This window comes from Homo sapiens, chromosome 17 (genome assembly GCF_000001405.40).
Source record: "Homo sapiens chromosome 17, GRCh38.p14 Primary Assembly".
Lineage (NCBI taxonomy): Eukaryota > Metazoa > Chordata > Mammalia > Primates > Hominidae > Homo > Homo sapiens.
The window spans coordinates 3,960,054-3,973,859 of record NC_000017.11 but is presented as its reverse complement, the minus strand read 5'-3'; the positions used below and the strand labels follow the sequence as shown (position 1 = coordinate 3,973,859).

General features: G+C 55.6%; 1 protein-coding gene across 18 annotated transcripts in view, besides 5 other annotated features; it reads left to right on the top strand.

Annotated features, from left to right (window-relative positions):
- Positions 6,475 to 6,554: an enhancer, noted in NCBI's record as "active region_11529". NCBI's record gives its function as "activates an Ori minimal core promoter by ATAC-STARR-seq in GM12878 lymphoblastoid cells {active_cell/tissue: GM12878}" and the evidence as "EXISTENCE:reporter gene assay evidence [ECO:0000049][PMID:35858748]".
- Positions 7,025 to 7,144: a silencer, noted in NCBI's record as "silent region_8029". NCBI's record gives its function as "represses an Ori minimal core promoter by ATAC-STARR-seq in GM12878 lymphoblastoid cells {active_cell/tissue: GM12878}" and the evidence as "EXISTENCE:reporter gene assay evidence [ECO:0000049][PMID:35858748]".
- Positions 8,741 to 8,900: a silencer, noted in NCBI's record as "silent region_8028". NCBI's record gives its function as "represses an Ori minimal core promoter by ATAC-STARR-seq in GM12878 lymphoblastoid cells {active_cell/tissue: GM12878}" and the evidence as "EXISTENCE:reporter gene assay evidence [ECO:0000049][PMID:35858748]".
- Positions 9,091 to 9,870: a silencer, noted in NCBI's record as "silent region_8027". NCBI's record gives its function as "represses an Ori minimal core promoter by ATAC-STARR-seq in GM12878 lymphoblastoid cells {active_cell/tissue: GM12878}" and the evidence as "EXISTENCE:reporter gene assay evidence [ECO:0000049][PMID:35858748]".
- The window catches only part of ATP2A3 (ATPase sarcoplasmic/endoplasmic reticulum Ca2+ transporting 3), a 40,565-nt gene continuing 36,181 nt past the window's right edge, over positions 9,423 to 13,806 (top strand). For all 18 annotated transcript variants that reach the window (XM_047436153.1, NM_174957.3, NM_005173.4 and 15 more), the window contains exon 1: positions 9,423 to 9,686. In XM_047436153.1, coding sequence (XP_047292109.1) covers positions 9,569 to 9,686 — 118 coding nt within the window. In that variant the 5' untranslated portion in view covers positions 9,423 to 9,568. The remainder of the gene's footprint in view (positions 9,687 to 13,806) is intronic.
- Positions 10,121 to 10,210: a silencer, noted in NCBI's record as "silent region_8026". NCBI's record gives its function as "represses an Ori minimal core promoter by ATAC-STARR-seq in GM12878 lymphoblastoid cells {active_cell/tissue: GM12878}" and the evidence as "EXISTENCE:reporter gene assay evidence [ECO:0000049][PMID:35858748]".

Genomic DNA, 13,806 nt, shown 5'->3' with positions numbered 1-13,806 from the left:
CTAGAAACTTCCTACTGTGTGCAGGAGCTGAATGTGGCTCAGTGTGGCCCCCACTACTGTGTGCAGGGGCTGGATGTGGCTCAGCGTGGCCGCTACTGTGTGCAGGGTCTGGATGTGTCTCAGTGTGGCCCCTACTGTGTGCAGGGTCTGGATGTGTCTCAGTGTGGCCCCTACTGTGTGCAGGGGCTGGATGTGTCTCAGTGTGCCCCCTACCTACTATGTGCAAGAGCGGGATGTGTCTCACTGTGGACCCCCTACTGGTGCAGGGGCTGGATGTGTGTCAGTGTGGACCCCCTACTGTGTGCAGGAGCTGGATGTGGCTCAGTGTGGCCCCCTACCTACTGTGTGCAGGAGCTGGATGTGTCTCAGTGTGGACCCCCTACTGTGTGCAGGAGCTGGATGTGGCTCAGTGTGGCCCCCTACCTACTGTGTGCTGGGGCTGGATATGTCTCAGTGTGGACCCCCTACTGTGTGCTGGGGCTGGATGTGTGTCAGTGTGGACCCCCTACTGTGTGCAGGAGCTGGATGTGGCTCAGTGTGGCCCCCTACCTACTGTGTGCAGGAGCTGGATGTGTCTCAGTGTGGCCCCCCTACTGTGTGCAGGGGCTGGATATGGCTCAATGTGGGTCTCATGGGAGGCAGGAAGTGGTGAGGGTGGGGTCGGCACCTGAAGGGAAAGTCTTGAGGGCTGGATGGTGGCTGAGAGGGCAGAGCTGATGAGGTGGGAGGGTGGGAGTCTCGAGGCTCCTAGGAGGACCCATCATAGAGCACAGAGAGAGGCTGGAGGAGCCAGGTGTGAGGTGGCTCCAGGCCAGGGGGGTCTAGGCCCAGGAGGATGGATGGGGTGCATCAGAGACTCACACAGGGGTCCCGAAGCCCAAAAGACGACAACAAAAGAACTTGGGGTCCGGGCAAGATAATAGGGGGGTGTCGCCCACCCTGAACAGCTGGGAGCCAAGGTCCTCCCCTGCCCCTCCCCTGAGGGAAGGCTGTCAAATAGGGAGCTGGGGTGGGGGCTTAAAACAGCAGACCCGATGCTCAGATGACATCAGATAAGACGAACAAACAGGTGACTCGCTGCTCAGCAGCAGGTCTTTAGAACACCTGGGACACCTGTCCACCAGGCCCAGGTGACCCCGAAGAAGAGGAAGGTGAGGTTCCCAAGCCTGCAAGGCTGTTTGCATTTTGACTCAAACCAATTTACAAACCAAAGTGGGGCAGCAGCAGGGCAACCCCGCCACTGTTTTCTGTTCTCTCTGCGGGAAGACGCTGCCCCCGCCACTTCCCCTTCACCACTGACATGACGGTCAGGGGGCTCAGGCCCAGAGGCGGGCAGGCACCTCCAAGACATCACAGCCAGGTCAAGCTTGCAGAGTCTGTTCCCTCAGCCTGCGACACCGTTCCCTCCCCTGTGCCTTCAGATTTCAGAAGTATCCCTTCCTCCAGAAAGCCTCCCGATCTCCCTGACTGGGTGACATCCGCCCTCCACCGCCTGTCATGTTCTCAAGGCAGCTCTGACCACACTGCGATCTGTTGCTGCGTGTGGTTTTCTGGGATGAACGGCTTGCTTCTTTCTCAGGTGTGGCCATGGGGAGAACAAGGACCATGTCTCCAAGAACATGGTGCCATGCCTGGGGCATGCTGGGTCCTTGAAATTTTTCTTTTTTCTTTTCTCTTTTTTTTTTTAGAGATGGGGTCTTGCTCTGTCACCCAGGGTGGAGTGCACTGGCACAATCATGGTTCACAGCCTTGACCTCCTGGGCTCAAGCAGTCCTCCCACCTCAGCCTCCTGAGTAGCTGAGACCACAGGCTACCATACCCGGCTAATTTTTAAAATTGTTTTGTAGAGATGGGGGTCTCCTATGTTGCCCAGCGTGGTCTGAAACTCCTGGCCTCAAGCGATCTTCCCACCTTGGCCTCCCAAAGTGCTGGAATTACAGGTGCGGGCCACCACACCCAACTGATAATTTTGTTTTTTTTTTTTTTTGAGATGGAGTTTTGCTCTTGTCACCCAGGCTAGAGTGCAATAGGGTGATCTTGGCTCACTGCAACCTCCTCCTCCCAGGTTCCAGCGATTCTCCTGCCTCAGCCTCCCAAGTAGCTGAGATTACAGGCGCCCGCCACCAAGCCCGACTAATTTTTGTATTTTTAGTAGAGACGGGGTTTCGCCATGTTGGCCAGGATGGCCTCAAACTCCTGACCTCAGGTGATCCGCGTGCCTCGGCCTCCCGAAGTGCTGGGATTACAGGCGTGAGCTACCGCTCCCAACCAAGAAATATTTTTGAATGAATTAAGCTAGGATAACAAGGGGGCAGAGCCCAGGCCTCCTGCCCCTCCCCGCTGCCCCCCAGCCCTCCCAAACTCCAGCCTGGAACTATCTCCTGAACAGTGGCTCAAACTCTTCATTTTTCTGGAGCAAGACCCTTCCTCAGGGCAGGGTTAGACCCCCTGAGGCCAGGCTGCCCTAAGGTCAGTCCCTGGCTTTTGAGGAGACTGTCCTGGTCCTAGCCCAGCAGAGGACCCAGCAGTCAAAGGACCCAGAGGACCCAGACTCATTTGTGTGTTGAGGAAAGCCATCAACTCACAAAGAGCAGCACATGCCTGGGCCGGGGGTTCCCGCCGAAGCTCTGCCTCAGCCTCCCTGGCTCCATGTCCCTGCTTGAGTCCTTTCCTTTCCCTGGGCCTCAGTTTCCCCTTGTGTACAAGCAGGATTTAGGCCTTCATCTCTGGGGGCCTCCACAGGGGTCTCATTCAGAGTCAACCAAGCGTGCAGGGAAGAGAGTGAATACACAGGGTTGGAGAAGCCAATGAAATGAGTTTCCAAATTTTAGGGAGAGGAGCCGGAAGAGCGATCTAGGCCAGAGGAACTGCATGAACCAACGGGTGACGCTAGGATGTGCAAGGCCAGTGGATCTGGAAGAGACAGGTTTGCCTTGGCTAGGAGCCTGTGGCTAAAGGGCTCTGCTGGGCTGAAGAGTCTAGACTTGATCCTGCCAGTACTAGGGAGCTAAGGGAGGTTCTTGAGGAGAGGAATGAAGTCATGAAAGCACCATCTCGGTGAAGCAATCTTGCTGTACCAGAAGTAAGTCTGGAGACAGGAAGGCCAGGAAGCGGGCTATTGGAAAGGTATAGCTTGAGAGAGAAGAGGGGCCTGAGTTCAGGCAGTGACAGAAAGGCAGGCTCAAGGGGATGGAGCGTGTAGGACATCCTTCTCTGCCCAGCGAAAGCTGCACTGACCTAGTGTTTTGGGACAGACCCCGACAAGCAGGCTGGGGATTGCTTAGGAGCCTGTGCTTTGGAGTCAGATCAGGTTTTAATCCCAGCTGAACGCCCCTGGGCAAGTCCCCGAGGCTCTGTGAGCCTCTCAGGCTTTTATCTGTAAAATGGAAAGAGGACTGGCTACATAATTTGCGGAGCCCAGTGCAAAATGAAAATGAGGACCCTTAGTTTAAAAAACAGAGGGGCCAGGTGCAGTGGCTCCTGTCTGTAATCCCAGCACTTTCTTTGAGAGGCTGAGGTGGGAGGATCCTGGGAGCCCACGAGTTTGAGACTGGCCTAGGCAACAAAGTGAGACCCTGCCTCTACAAAAAAGTTTAAAAAATAATTAGCCAGGCACGGTGGTGCGCACCTACAGGCCCAGCTACTGTGGAGGCTGAAGCGAGAGGATGGCTTGAGCCCAGCATTTGGAAGTTGCAGTGAACCATGATTGCACCACTGCATTCCTGCTGGGCAACAGAGTGAGACCCCATCTCAAAAGAATTTAAAAAATAAAATAAAATGAAAAACCGGGGAAAGAGTCTCATTAAAGGCACTAAAATATAAAACTTTTCCTTTCTCGTGCAGTCTCGCTCAACTTGTCATGGTGCTTTTGAAAAATCTACACTTTAATTTTCTTTTTCTTTTTTTTTGAGACAGAGTCTCACTTTGTCGCCCAGGCTGGAGTGCAGTGGCATGATCTCGGCTTATTGCGACCTCCACCTCCCGGGTTCAAGCAATTCGCAATTCTCCTGCCTCAGCCTCCCGAGTAGCTGGGACTACAGGCATGCGCCACCACACCAGGCTAATTTTGTATATTTTTGGTAGAGACGGGGTTTCACCATGTTGGCCAGGCTGGTCTCGAACTCCTGACCTGAGGTGATCCACCTGCCTTGGCCTCCCAAAGTTCTGGGATTACAGGCGAGAGTCACGGCACCCAGCCTACAAATTCATTTTCTAAGAAAAGAAGAAATAAAAATTCTAATAATTTGCATGAAATTTTTTCATTTATCTTTACTTTGTGCAATGCCCGTTTTAAATGCAAAATGAAGAGCATTTAACTCATATGTGTAATCACTAAAATGACCAAGTCTTGGCGTGTAGCTTGTACATGCACATACATTTTGTTCTGACCAGAACAGGAAAATGCCGTACAACATGGACTCGGCTGTTTCCATTTCACTTGTCAATATGAATACACTCCTCCAACACCCTCTGCCTTTGCTTTACTGATGAGTAAAGAAGGGCTGAAAAGAAAAGGAACTGTGGGTTGCCTTATCTTTTCCTTTCCTTCTGTGTCATCATGTTGAATGCGAGTGGTTGTTGAACGCAGGGAAGTAATGTGAGTAAGAAATGATATGATAGGGACCCCGACCTTTCGTGTTTCTCAGAACACTACTGTCTTCTTTCTGCATGAAGCAAATTCGGGTTCAAATGGAAAGCAGGGCCTCTCGGCTGTCAGCACCCCACTTACTCAGTCGCAGACATAACACATTCACCCTAGACTTGATTCGAGTCCACTCAACTCCCACCCACCATGAGTCCACCAGAATTGTGTGCTCACGAGCACAGTGAGCACTTTACGGGAGAGAGATGGCGTATTAAACGGGCCTCTTTGGCTCACAGCATGCCCCGTTTTCCCAACGGGCTTCACTTACAAAGCACAAGTTCAAAGAGAAAATTACTATATTAAGAATTTCAAAGGGCCAGGCACGGTGGCTCACTCCTGTAATCCCAGCACTTTGGGAGGCCGAGGCGGGCAGATCACCTGAGGTTGGGGGTTTGAAACCAGGCTCACCGACATGGAGAAACCCCGTCTCTACTAAAAATACAAAAATTAGCCCGGTGTGGTGGCGGGCACCTGTAATCCTAGCTACTCGGGAGGCTGAGGGAGGAGAATCGCTTGAACCCAGGAGGCGGAGCTTGCAGTGAGCCGAGATCACGGCCACTGCACTCCAGCCTGGGTGACAGAGCGAGACTCTGTCTCAAAAAAAAAAAAAAAAAAAGAATTTCAAGATGGCGGTTGGAGAGCATTAAACCAAGTGGGAGGCCGGGCATGGTGGTGCGTTCCCATGGTCCCAGCCACTCAGGAGGCAGAGGCAAGAGGAGCACTTGAGTCCAGGAGTTGGAATCCAGCCTGGGCAACATAGCGAGACCCCCATCTCTAAAAACAGCCACAACAAAAATCAAGCAGACGGTCCTTCTGACAACTGGTGACCTGCGCAGGTTGCATGCCCATGAAGCCAGCTCTGAATGGGGATAATAAAATCCTCCTCCAGGGTTACTGTGAGGGTTAAATGGGAGTAACTTGTGAAACAAGCTTAGCATATGGTGAATGTTCAAGTCAGTGGCTCTAATCACAGATATTTCCCTACACAGCTTAGAGGCCCCTCCCCTGGGGAGGCCTGAAGGAAATCAGGGTGCTGGGGCATGACCCTGACTACCGCTCCATGGTCCTTTCAGCCATGGCTCTCCCTTTTAATCTCTTCTCCATACCAGCTTCTATGGGGGACTTTTCTAGCAGGCAAACCTGGCCCCATCTCTCCATTGCTTAAAACCCTTCAGTACAAAACCCAGGACATAACATAGACAATCGAGGTTCTCAGTGTCCTAGCCCTGTCTCTCTAATCTGCCCTCCTGGTCCTTGCACTCCTGCTCCTTACGATCCAGCCACACTAAGGGATCAAATCACTATCCCTGACATATGGCTGAGATTTCTCACCTTCAACTCAGGCTGTTGTTTTCTGCGGGCAGCACCCTCTTCTCCATGTGTCTGAATATTTCCAGAAAAGCTGGGTGTGGTGGCTTACACCTGTAATCCCAGCACTTTGGGAGGCTGAGGCAGCTGGATGAGTAGAGAAGGACTGAAAATAAAAGGAACTGTGGGTTGCCTTATCTTCACCATGCCTGGCCAACACGGTGAAACCCCATCTGTACTAAAAATACAAAAATTAGTGAGACCAGCCTGGCCAACATGGTGAAACCCCGTCTCTACTAAAAATACAAAAATTAGCTGGGCATGGTGGCAGGTGCCTGTAATCCCAACTACTTGGGAGGCTGAGGCAGGAGAATCACTTGAACCCCGAAGGCAGAGGTTGCAGTGAACCAAGATTGTGCCACTGCACTCCAGCCTGGGCGACAGAGCAAGACTCAGTCTCAAAAAAAAATAAAAAATAAAAATAATAAATAAATAAATAATAATTCCAGGGAAGACCTCTGTTTCCTCATGCCCACCCGGGCCCCCTCAGGTGAGGCGGGTAGATATACTTCTGCTAGATAGGTGGTATGTTCTGCCACCTTCTGTCTGGTGGAGGAGGTGGCAAAAGCCGTGTCTAGGTGCCAGGCATGGAGTTCTTGGTTCCTGGCAGCTGGGAGGTGGAGAATGTGGACCTGCCCTTTGGACAGCCTGCCTGTGACCATGTCGCCCTGGCCACCAGCTGTGTGTCTGTCCAGGTACAAAAAGAGAGCATGGCGGGGAGGGACGTGAGCCCGGGGCAGGCAGCTGGAGTGTGAAATGACTGCATGTGATTCTGTGGGAGCTGGGGGGGCACCCAGAAGTTGTGACAGGGGCAGCCGAGCAGGCGGGCATGCTGACAGGTGTGTGAGCCTGCCAGGTGAGGGCCCCGGTTGCTGGCAACTGTTTGTCCTGCCATGGCGGTTTGAAGGTAGGGTGGGGTGGGCTGGAGAAATGGAACATAGGCCTGGCTGCCAGAGCAAACAGTCAGGCCTTCTGGCCCTACCTTCTAGCAAATACCAACTCACAGCTGAGGGTGCGGTGGAGCGGGAGAGGCTGGGGTTAAGGTCCCTAGGGCCAGCAGAGAAGAAGTCAGACCTCAAGATGTGTGTGTAGGGTGGAGCAGGGGTTTCCCAGCGGCTTGAACGCCTAGGGCTCCCGATCTCTGGGAAATAGGGCTCTAGCGGGGAGCTGTGAGGCTCTGTCCCCAGTCAAGTCCTGGCTAACATTTTTCCTGGCAACTTAGGGATACAGTTGGGATTTTGTGGACTATAGCAGTGGGGGAGAAAGGAATAGGGTGGAAATATCTGGGGATATCAGACTTGAGATATAAAATGTCAGGCTGAGCGGGATGCAGTGGCTTATACCTGTAATCCCAACATTTTGGGAGGCCGAAGTGGGTCGATCGCTTGAGTCCAGGAGTTTCAGACCAGCCTGAGCAACATTGGGAAACCCTGTCTCTACAAAAAAAAAAAAAAAAAAAAAAAAAAAAAAAAAAAAAAAAAAACCTGGGCGTGGTGGCTCACGCCTATAATCCCAGCTACTTGGGAGGCTGAGGTGGGAGGATCGCCTGAGCCCGGGAGGCAGAGGTTGCAGTGAGCCGCGATCATGCCACTGCACTCCAGCCTAGATGACAGAGCCAGATCCTGTCTCAAAAAAATAATAATGGGGCTGGGCACGGTGGCTCATGCCTGTAATACCAGCACTTTGGGAGGCTGAGGTGGGTGGATCACCTGAGGTCAGGAGTTCAAGACCAGCCTGGCCAACATGGCGAAACCCTGTCTCTACAAAAAAAAAAAAAAAATACAAAAAATAGCTGGATGTGGTGGCGGGCGCCTGTAATCCCAGCTACTCGGGATGCTAAGGCAGGAGAATCTCTTGGACCTGAGAGGTGGAGGTTGCAGTGAGTTGAGATGTCGCCTCGCCACTGCACTCCGCCTGGGCGACAGAGTGACACTACGACTCAAAGAAATTAAAAAAAAAAAAAAGGAAAATAATAATAATAATAATAATAATAATAAAATCAATAAATAAAATACCAGGCCGGAGGAGCCACAACCAGAAAACCAGCATTCCTCTAGCTCCACAGCACCAGGCTGAGACGCAGCTGATATCAGGGAATCCATCTGGATCACCCATCAAAAGCCCCAAAGCACCTTTCGGTCCAGCCAGTCCTCAGGGAGTGTCTTTGCTCAGGGAGGCACCGAGAGGCGGAGAGGAGGAGGGGCCCAGTCCTGTCCCAGGAGGAAGAGCACAGAATCTGGGGGTGTGCATGATCTGGATAGGGGTCAGCAGCTCCAGACCAGGCTGGAAGTTGAGGCTCTCAGGAGCGGGTGAGGGGCTGTGTTGTTGGGGCAGGGCGCAGCTGCAGCTATCTGGGAAAGCTTCCTGGCTGCAGAGGCACAGAAGGGGTTTGGGGTTTGAACAGCCAGCTGTGCGGGCTCAATCCTGGCATCTCTGACCCTGTGCAGCCTTGGTGGATGGCAGAGACTGAGGCTCTAGAAGGCAGAGCCCAGCTCGTGGTGGGAGGCAGATAAGGGCTGGGGTGAGGCTGTCTGGGTCTCTCAAGCTGGAGGGAGCGGCAATCAGGCTGTTCTCTTAGCTCCTCCTTTTGGCGGGGCGAGTGGTTTCTGCCTTCCTGCGACTTCCTCCTCTGACCCGCTGCCACTTCTCCTGGCCCTCCTGGGGCGGGTGGAGCTCGGGAGCGCTGAGGCGGAGGCTCATCCATCTCTCCCCTCCCTGGGCCAGGGTCAGTCCCCTGGGAGCCCTGGGCAGAGACCCCCCCACCCCACCCTCTCGGGCCCCTCTGGGGAGCCCCACCTTTGCTCCCTGGTTACATTTCCTGCTGGGGTGACGGTGTGAGTCTAGGGTAACGAGCCTGGTTTTCTGAACTTTCTTATGCACCGGCTCTTTGTTAAAGGTTCTGGTTATGTGAGGAATAACCCCTCGCCGGTGGGCATTGGAAAAGAATAAAGAAAGCAGAAACACCAAATAAGGAGAACATCCAGCACTTTCCTCTAGAGAAGACCCGCTTATTCAGAGGCTTTCGGGTTCCCTCTGGAGTCACTTCGCAGAATTCGAGCTGGGAAGCAGGACGCCCCGGGCCCAGGAGAGCCCAGAGGAGGCGACGCGCAGCCCAGAGCCGGGTGCTCCGCAGACCGCCCCAGCTCTCGGCCAGATCCCACCCCTAGCAGCTCCGCGGACCGGGACCGAGGACCCCCGGGCCACGCGCCCCCGGCTCCCGACAGGCCCAGCACGCGCCCCGCGGGCGGTCTCAGTTTCCCCTCTGCAGAATGGGCGGGGGACCCAGGCGGTGCGCCCCGGGGCGCGGAGGGCGGCCGGAAGGGGTGTGATGGGGGGCGGGCCCCGCGCCGCCCCGCCCCGGGGAGGGAGTCCCGGGCGCAGCATCCTGGCGCGGGCCGGGGCCGCCGCCGCCACTGCCGTCGGGTAAGGTCCCAGCACGGACATGGCCTCGCGCGGCGCCCGCCCGGGCCCGAGTCCCCCGCGCCCCGCTTTGTAGCCCCCCGGCGGAGAGGCGGCCTCGACGGTGCGGACGGCGCAGACGGCCGGGCGGGCGGCATGGAGGCGGCGCATCTGCTCCCGGCCGCCGACGTGCTGCGCCACTTCTCGGTGACAGCCGAGGGCGGCCTGAGCCCGGCGCAGGTGACCGGCGCGCGGGAGCGCTACGGCCCCAACGGTGAGCGCGCGGGCCGGGCCGGGCCGGGGAGCGGGGGCCGCGCGCGCCGCAGTCTCAGTTTCCCCTCCTGCCTCCCCACCCGGCTCTGGGCGGGCAGGAAGCGAGGGCTCCGGAAACCTCTTCGGATGCTCCTGGGGCACCCGGCGGGGCTGCGCGGCCACCTTCGCCGGCGCCGGGGCTGGGGGCTGGGGGCTGGGAGCGGGTTCCAGCTGGGGAGACCGGACGCCTGGCACCCTCTGCGCGGTCCTCCCGGACTTCCCACCTCCACTCCGGCCCCGTCCACCCTGGAAGCGTTATTCCACCCCATCCTGGACCGTATTCCACCCCAACGCCGCGCCGCTCCCGCTGGCATCCTGCAGGTGCAGCGCAGACACCGGCGGGCGAGGGACGGCCGGAGACTCAGGCTCGGCCTCCCAGCTGGCCCCAGGGTCTCCCCTGAGGGCTCCAGAAAACGCCCAGGAAGGTGCCGCTTATCAGCTAGCAGCCTTGGGGCCCCCACCCCCACCCCAGGTCTTCCTCTTTCTGCAACCCGAAGCGGATGTGGCTGGCGGAGTCGGTGGGGGCTTTGAACTGCTGAGGCGGGAGACCCACCTTCCTGGGGTGGCGGAGTCAAGGCCTCAGGGAACTGCCAGGGAGGCCTTTCCCATCTCTGGGGAGGGAGGGAGGCTTCACTATCATTTCATCCTCACCTCCTTCAAAGGAGTGTGGGATTCTTGCTCTTGCCAAAAGGCACATTGAGTGCCACCGGGTACTGTCCAGATGTGGCCTGGCACCTTGGAGGTCCCATGAGGGTGGAAAATACAGAGGTGCCCTCCCCACATCCCTTCCAGGCAGGACCTGCCACCCCCTTGCTCATGCCCGCAGCATCGGGCAGAGTGTGAGGGATCCCAGGAGAAATACCCTCACCATCTACAGAGGGCAGCCTGGGTCTGCATCCTTTGGGGACTTGGAGCCTTGCCCTTTTGGGGTTCCCAGCCAGCCAGAGGGGAAGGTATTCTAGCCCTGGGATCCTACTACTCAGGGCTAGCTTGAAAATTAGGAAGAAGTGTCAGAAAAGGACTTTTGGGTTTTGTATTGGTTTATGAAAACCACCTCTTATATAAATATTATCTTTCTGGAGCAGAAATCCTTTTTCAAAAAAATTAGTTGCTATATTTAGTTGAGCTGTGGGAGGAACTGGGGAGATAAATATTATTTAATATCCCCCATTAGTGACTTGGCAGGGAGGTTGTGCTTTGCTGCAGGAGAGCTGGGCAGCATGGGCTGCCTCTGACCCTGGGGTGGGCTGGGGGCGAGGGCCGGCGCAGGCAGGTCTGCGGTCCCACTGCCTCTTTTGTGCTGCTATAGCCTCCAGCTTGGGAATCCTGATTCCTGAGGGAAACTGGAGACGCAGCCCTTGGCCTGTCCCTGGAATCACACAAATACTGCTTCTGTACGACCCTAGCCAGGTCTGTCTTCATTCTGATATCATGTCTTCATTGGTCCAGCGGAGGAGGAACTGACTGGGAGGGAGGGAGCCCCAGCCTTCCCCACCTGTTATTTGGTTAGATGAGATCCTTGGGGTGCCCTGGCCAGCGCACACCTGTGTGAACTGATGGGGAAGGCTGTGGGCTTGGCGTGGTGTGTAGGTCCACAGAGGGTGGATGTGTGTTGGGGTGTGATGGGAAAAGTTGGGGAGGGATATTGCTGGGCTCCCCTGGATCCTCTGGGCATTGATAGTATTAATAATAAAAGCTGATGTTCACTGAGCACTTACTATGTGCCAGGTTCTAGTCTCAGCATTTTTCATCTATTATCTCATTTCTTCCCCAAAACAACTCCATAAGGGAAGGACTGTTGTCATCCCCATTTTATACAGCAGGAAACGGAGGCACCCAGAGGTTAAACCACTTGCCCGAGGTCACATAGTAGGTGGTGGAGCTGGCACTGGTTACCTGCTCCTCTCTGGGCCTCAGTTTCCCCATCTGTACAAGACAGTCACAAGTTCTGCAGGATGCAGAACCCTGGTGTGGGCGTCTGTGCTAGGAGTTTGGGTCAGCCGGCAGCAGCTTTTTCAGCTTTGCCTCCAGCCTTCTTGGGTCCCTAGAGGGCTCTTCTCTCAGATCACTGATTGGGGCTGGGGGCATTCCAGGGCTCTAGAAGTCTTTAGGTGAGCAGAGGGGAGCCAGCTGTTCCTTCCTGCCTCAGGCTTGCCATGGCTTGAGGAGGAGGTGCAGATGTCCCTAGCACAGCTGCTGGGGTGGAGCTGATGAGGCTTTGAACCCTAGCCCTGCCCCTTCATAGCTGTGCAATGCTGGACCAGCCTCTTTGCCTCTCTGTGCCTCGGTTTCTTCACCATAAGCGAGGCTGCCATAGAACCCATCTCCCAGGGTTGTTTGTGAGTCTTTAGTGAGGTCACAGACACCAAGTCATCCTTCCTTGTCGCAGAAGAGGCTGGGGCGGGCTCCTGGCCACAAGCTGGGTGGCAGGGTGGGTCAGGCCTGAGGGCAGAAGGGACACCCCAGAGACATGTGTTCTCCCCACCCCAGGAGTCTGTGCACCTGCAAGGTCGTTATTGTTGGAAACCACAAGGAAGTCATTTGCTTAAGTCCTGAAGCTTGCAAATTCTGCCAGGGGAGGGAGGCAGCGGCTGGGCATCCCACCCCCACCTTCCCACCCTCCTCCCTCACTGCACACAGACACTTCAGAGCTGGGGAGCCTCGGCAGCGCAGTCAGTGAGCACGCTAGCCAGGGACCCCCTCCACTCACACATAAAACCCCATCTGCCGTAACCCCCAACAGGGAGTGAGTGGGGAGGCTCCTGGCCCCAGCACCTCCTGTGAGCCCACCTTTGCAGGTGCCAGAGGTACCCAGAGTTCAGCTTCCTTGGGGGGCTTTTACTTGTACATCTTTTTTATTTTTGAATAAAAATGTGCACAGTGCAACATTCAAGGGGTTCAAAAGGTATACAGTAAATTCTCCGCCCCGTCCCCAGCCACCCATTCCCAGTCCTCCCAATATCTTGTGTCTTCTTCCCAAGACAGTCCGTGCATATACACATCTGGAGCTGTGATCTTGTGATCTTTTCCCACACGGAAGCAGGAGGAGGATAAGTGCTCTTTGTCCCTGCTTTGACCTTGACAGTCATTCTTGGAGCCGGTGCCAGGAGGAGCACGGTGGGGCTTCCTAGTGGCTGCATGGCATTTCGGCGTGCGGCTTTTCTCTGACTTCTGGTGGACGCTTGTGTTGTTGGCAGCCTCTGCTATGACACGCAGTATTGCAGAGTATCCTTGTTGCCACATCATGTCACGCGCTTGTGAATATCACTGAAGGACGCATTCCTGGGGGTGGAACTGTGGGGTCTAAGTGGGTGTATATTTTCAGTGTCGTCAGCTGTCACTAAACTTCTCTGTGCAGTTGTGCCGACTGAACGGCTGGTTCTCTGCTGCCTCGCCAGCACAGGGTGGGATCAGACGGTCTGATCTGTGCCAGTCAGGTGGAAGAGTCCTCTCGTAGGTTTGCTTGGCATCTTTCTGTTTAAAGTCACATTGGGTGTCTTTTCATATGTTAAGGAGCCACCAAATGGGCTGCCCATCTCCTCTGCTGGACTGGAGCCAAGGCAAGAGACCTGGCTGTGTTGGGCATGTCCTTTCTGTAGCTAAAGTCCCTGGAGACCCCAGTGACCTGAGAGTCGGGCAGATCCCAGGAGGTCTTCTGGGGTGGTCTCTGTTCAAGGGAGCTGGCAGGCCGGGCAGAAGCCTGCCTTCCCGGGCCACACGCGGCCCATGTGCAGTGAGCGCCTTGGCCCCAGGGCTGCCAGGTGGGATGAGTGGTCCAGATTTAGACTCCTGCCAGCGGCGTCTTGGCTCTGGCCTTATTTGCTGCCCTCAAATAAGTTCCAGGCCATAGCTGGTGCTGAAACTCGGGCAACCCATATGCGTAGCCCACGGAAACCAGGCCAAGAGGAACGGAGTGTGTCAGGAAGAGGGGGCCATCTGAGTGGCCCTGCTTGCTGGGTGGCATTGGGCAGACTTGGCCCTCCCTGGACCTGCTGCTCCTCAGGATAGCAGGGATGGGACCCTGGGATCCCCTAAGGGCCTTGCGGGATCTGAGAGGGTGTGGTTTGCCCACAGCCCTTTGG